At 45.5% G+C, this 5,368-nt stretch overlaps 1 annotated feature.

Annotated features, from left to right (window-relative positions):
* Positions 416-1,034: an enhancer, noted in NCBI's record as "OCT4-NANOG-H3K27ac hESC enhancer chr5:76074968-76075586 (GRCh37/hg19 assembly coordinates)". NCBI's record gives its function as "activates a minimal SCP1, AML or CMV promoter by ChIP-STARR-seq in naive H9 embryonic stem cells {active_cell/tissue: H9 hESC(naive)}" and the evidence as "EXISTENCE:reporter gene assay evidence [ECO:0000049][PMID:30033119]".

A 5,368-nucleotide genomic window follows, 5' to 3' on the forward strand; every position in this document is an offset into this window, starting at 1 on the left:
CTGGTGGCGCATTCCTGTAATCCCAGCTACTTGGGAGGCTGAGGCAGGAGAATCACTTGAACCCAGGAGGTGGAGGTTGCAGTGAACCAATATCGCACCATTGAACTCCAGTCTGCGCAGCAAGAGCAAAATTCATCTAAAAAAAAAAAAGTAAGTAATTACTCTTGAATTGTTTAACTATTGAAAACTCCTAGTTTCTAAGGGATATCAGCACATGAGTTCCCACCTCTGTTATCCAGGCCATATAAATATCATTGATTGTACACCCATAGACAAAATAGAAAGCAAAACAAAAACAAAAATGAGGAAGTCATAGAAGAGGGTAGTAACATTTTAGCCAGAGAAAAACTACTCTAAATGGAGGAAGTCAGAAAATAAGGCAATCAGCATCATATTGCAAATGCAATGGAGAGGTAAGGTCATGTTACAATGTAGCCTACTAAAGAAAAACAAAACAAGCAAAACAAAACCCCTGAAGTTGAAGATGTGGTTCGTTTATTTATTTATTTATTTATTTATTTATTTATTTATTTATTTATTTATTTTGAGACAGAGTCTCGCTCTGTCGCCCAGGCTGGAGTGCAGTGGCGCGATTTCGGCTCACTGCAAGCTCTGCCTCCCGGGTTCCCCCATCTTGGTTGGTTGACCGCATAACAATGAATCCATCACAGAGCCCTTAAACGGGCCAGTTTGGATAACCAGCAGGTGTTTTGAAAAGCTACTGATTTAGGCCAAATTAGAAGGAGGGGCAATGGGTTGCCTTGGAGAAGCAAACAGGGGCGGCAGACTGAACTGTAAATCACTCTCGGCTCTGGGCTCTCTTTCTTTTTTCCTCTTTCCCATATGGGCTTCCAACCCTGGGAGCCATTTTTAGGGTGAACAAAGGTATCTGTGGAATGTTCATTTGTTTCTATTATTTGCCACAAGCAGTCTTTGTTGTTTTTTTTTTTAACTTGAATACTTAACACTCCCTCTTAAAACCAGGACTCAGTATAAAAACTATGCTTCACACTGTTTGCAAGAGCCAAACATTGGACACTCAAATGTCCATTAAAAATAGGATGGGGGCTGGGCTCAGTGGCTTATGCCTGTAATCCTAACACTTTTGGAGGCTGAGGCAGGTGGATCGCTTGAGCTCAGGAGTTGGAGACCAGCTTGGGCAACACAGCAAAACTCTGACTCTACAAAAAATGCATAAGTTAGCTGGGCATGGTAGTGTGCACCTGTAGTCCCAGCTACTCAGGAGGCTGAGGCAGGAGAATCACTTGAGCCAGGGAGGTTGAGGCTACACTGAGCCATGATCACATCACGACACTCCAACCAGGGTGATGAAGTAAGATCCTCTCTCAAAAACAACAAACAAAAATATGGGACCAGGTGTGGTTGCTCATTGTAATCCCAGCACTTTGGGAGGCCGAGGCAGGAGGACTACTTGAGCCCAGGAGTTAAAGACCAGCCTGGGCAACACAGGGAGATCCCGTATCTACAAAAAATAATAAATTAGCTGGGCATGGCTGGGTGCAGTGGGTCACGCCTGTAATCCCAGCACTTTGGGAGGCCAAGGAAGGCAGATCACAAGGTCAGGAGATCGAGACCATCCTGGCCAACATGGTGAAACCCCGTCTCTACTAAAAATACAAAAATTAGCTGGGCATGGTGGTGTGTGCCTGTAATCCCAGCTACTTGGCAGGTTGAAGCAGGAGAATCCCTTGAACCAGGGCGTCGGATGTTGCAGTGAGCTGAGATGGCACCATTGTACTCTAGCCTGGTGACAGAGCGAGACTCCATCTAAAAAAAAAAAAAAAAAAATTAGCTGGGCATGGTAGCAGGTGACTATAGTGACTATAGTCCCAGCTACTCTGGAGAATGAGGTGGGGGAATTGCTTGAACCCAGGAGGTTGAGGCTGCATTGAGCTGAGATTGTGCCACTACACTCCAGCCTGGGCAACAGAGTGAAACTCTGTTTCAAAAAAAAAAAAAAAAAAAGATATGGATAGGGCTGGTCATGACGGCCTACACTCGTAATCCCAGTGCTTTGGGAGGCCACCACGGAAGGATCACCTGAGGCCAGGAGTTTGAAGTTCCAGTGATCTATGATTGTTAGAGGCCTTTGAACTAGAGCAACTCCATCTTCAGTAGGGGCTGGGTAAAATAAGGCTGAGTCCTACTGGGCTGCATTCCCAGTTAGGCATTCTAAGTCACAGGATGAGATAGGAGACCAGCACAAGATACAGGTCATAAAGACTTTGCTGATAAAACAGGTTGCAGTAAGGAAGCCGGCCAAAACCCACCAAAACCAAGATGGTGATGATCGTCCTTACTGCTACACTCCCATTAGCACCATGACAGTTTACAAATGCCATGGCAACGTCAGGAAGTTACCCTATAGGGTCTAAAAAAGGGGAGGCATGAATAATCCACCCCTTGTTTAGCATATCATCAAGAAATAACCATAAAAATGGGCAACCAGCAGCCCTTGGGGCCGCTCTGTCTGTGGAGTAGCCATTCTTTGGTTACTCTACTTTGCTAATAAACTTGCTTTCACTTTTCTCTAGGGACCTGCTCTGAATTCTTTCTTGTGCAAAATCCAAGAACCCGCTCTTGGGGTATGGATCAGGACCCCCCCTTCTTGTAACATCTTTTTGGCAACCACAGAAGGGACTATAGTGCGGTAAACCCCTGACCCAAAGGCTAACTTTGGGTAAGTGGTAGGGTCCGGTGACATCTTTCTGGCAAACCCTGAAGGGATGATACTGAAGAAATCCCCTCACTCAAAGGAAAGAGATTGGTTGACTTTGGATAAATTGGTGGGGTACCTGGGTGAAAAATGGGATTGGGTGAGAGGCCCAACTTAGAGGAGTTAGAGTCTCTCCTAAGACAAAGAGGGTTAAAGGCTCCTCTCAATAAGAGGCAAGGACACTTGACCAACATTGGGTTCAAGGCCCAACTTAGGAGGGTTAGAGGCCCCTCTCAGTAAAGTCCCTTTCGGCTAAATATGGGTTTGGCACTACAGGATGTTAACTGCTACTCTCTATGGAATAATCTGCTTTGCACTCTTTGCTGATGACTGTGGGTGTCAGGATTGGCATGTACAGGATTGTGGGACATGGGGAGCTTTTTCTTTCCTAAAAGGGGAAACTTGAGAGCTGACAGGACTGCTGGAAAAGATTCCTTCTTGACAGGCAAGCAGCCATCTGAACTTTTGAGTAATGGGCGGGTCTTACTCTGGTCTCCCTGAGCTCTTCACTTTTCCCACCCTGCCTCAGGCAATGCGCTCTTTCTCTCTCTCTCTCTCTCTCTCTCTCCCCCCGCAAACGGGTTAAATGAATGCTAAAAATCACTGTTTATCCCAGGCGTAGTGGCTCACACCTGTAATCCAGCACTTTGGGAGGCCGAGGCGGGCAGATCGCCTGAGTTCAGGAGTTCGACACCAGCCTGGGCAACACGGTGAAACCCTGTCTCTACTAAAAATACAAAAAATTAGCCGGGCATGGTGGCAAGTGCCTGTAGTCCCAGCTACTCGGGAGGATGAGGCAGGAGAATCGCTTGAACCCGGGAGGCAGAGGTTGCAGTGAACCAAGATCATGCCATTGCACTCCAGCCTGGGCAGCAGAGCGAGACTCCAGCTCAAAAAACAAACAACAATAAAAAACAAAAACAAAAATCACTGTTTATCTCCTCTGTAAAGTTTTGATTAATGGAAAAAAGGATTACTGAGGCTAATCTTAAACTGTAGTGAATCTGGTGTGCTTTGTGTATCTTTCTGTATTGTTCTGTCAAGATGAGGAGTACCTTAGGATAGAATGTGGACCTAGGACCCCTATATGCCTGCTGTTCAAGACAGCCCAGCAAACTGGTTAGTCATTTCCTTGGGAGACTGACCTTGTAACCATGTAGCTGTGCTTTCTCTTTTCACAATGGTGGCCTGGGTTCAGGGTCCTGGTAAAAAAAAATGATGGTATTTCCACATAATGAAAGGTTATACAGCAATGAGAATGAATAAGCTACAACTATAAACCACAACCGGAATGAATCTCACAATGTGAGGACCAAAAGAAGCCAGACAAAAAAAGAGTACGTAGTTTACGATTCTACTTGTGTAATGTAAAGGTCAAAACTTTAACAATAGACAAAATTGGGCCGGGCGTGGTGGCTCATGCCTGTAATCCCAACGCTTTGGGAGGCTGAGGCAGGTGGATCACGTGAGGGTGGGAGTTCGAGATTAGCCTGGCCAACGTGGTGAAACCCTGTCTCACCATGTTAGCCAGGCATGGTGGCAGATGCCTGTAATCCAGCTACTCAGAAGGCTGAGGCAGGAGAATGGCTTGAACCTGGGAGGTGGAGGGTGCAGTGAGCTGAGGTCACGCTGCTGCACTCCAGCCTGGGTGACAGAGCGAGACCCCATCTCTCAAAAATAAAGATAAAAAATAAAAATAGACAAAACTAATCCAGTTTTAAAGTTCTTGAGTGAGACAGGGTCCCACTCTATCACCCAGGCTGGAGTGCAATGGTGTGATCTTAGCTCACTGCAGCCTTGCATTCCTGGGCTCAAGTGATCCTCCTGCCTCAGCCTCCCAAGTAGCTGGGACTACAGTCACACACAACCACACCCTACTAATTTATTTAATTTTTTGTGGAGATGAGATCTCACTGTGTTGCCCAGGCTGGTCTCAAACTCCTGGGCTCAGGGAGTCCTTCTACCTCAACCTCCCCAAATGCTGGGATTACAGGTGTGAGCTGCTGTGCCAGCTAAAAACTAATCTATTATTCTAGAAGTTAGAACAGTTGTTACTGTTGACGAAAAGAGTCAAACTCTGTAAAATATTTAAAGAGGTTTACTCTGAGCCGAATATGAGTGACCATGGCCCAAGAGACACTCTCAAGAGGTCCTGAGAAATGTGTCCGAGGTGGTTCAGTTACAGCTTAGTTTTGTATGTTTTAGGGAAACATAAGACATCAATCAATACATGTGAGGCATACATTGGTTCAATCTAGAAAGGCAGCACAACTCAAGTCGGGAACTGTGCTTCTAGGTGACAGGTAGGTTCAAAGATTTTCTGATTGGCAATTGGTTGAAAGAGTTATTACCTAGAGACCTGGAATCAATAGAAAGGAGGGTTTGGGTTAAGATAAGGACTTGTGGAGACTTCAAGGTTCTTATTATGTAGATAAAGTCTCCTAGGTGGCCACCCTTAGAGGCAAGAGATGGCAAATGTTTTCTATTTAGAACTTTAAAAGGTGCTGGTCTCTCAGCCAGTCTCTTCAGGATCGGAAAAAGACTTGGAAAGGGAAGGGGATTCTCTATAGAAAGTAAATTTCTCCCACGAGATACAGTTTTGCAGAGCCATTTAAAAATACGTCAAAGTCG

The sequence above is a fragment of the Homo sapiens genome, chromosome 5 (assembly GCF_000001405.40).
Source record: "Homo sapiens chromosome 5, GRCh38.p14 Primary Assembly".
Lineage (NCBI taxonomy): Eukaryota > Metazoa > Chordata > Mammalia > Primates > Hominidae > Homo > Homo sapiens.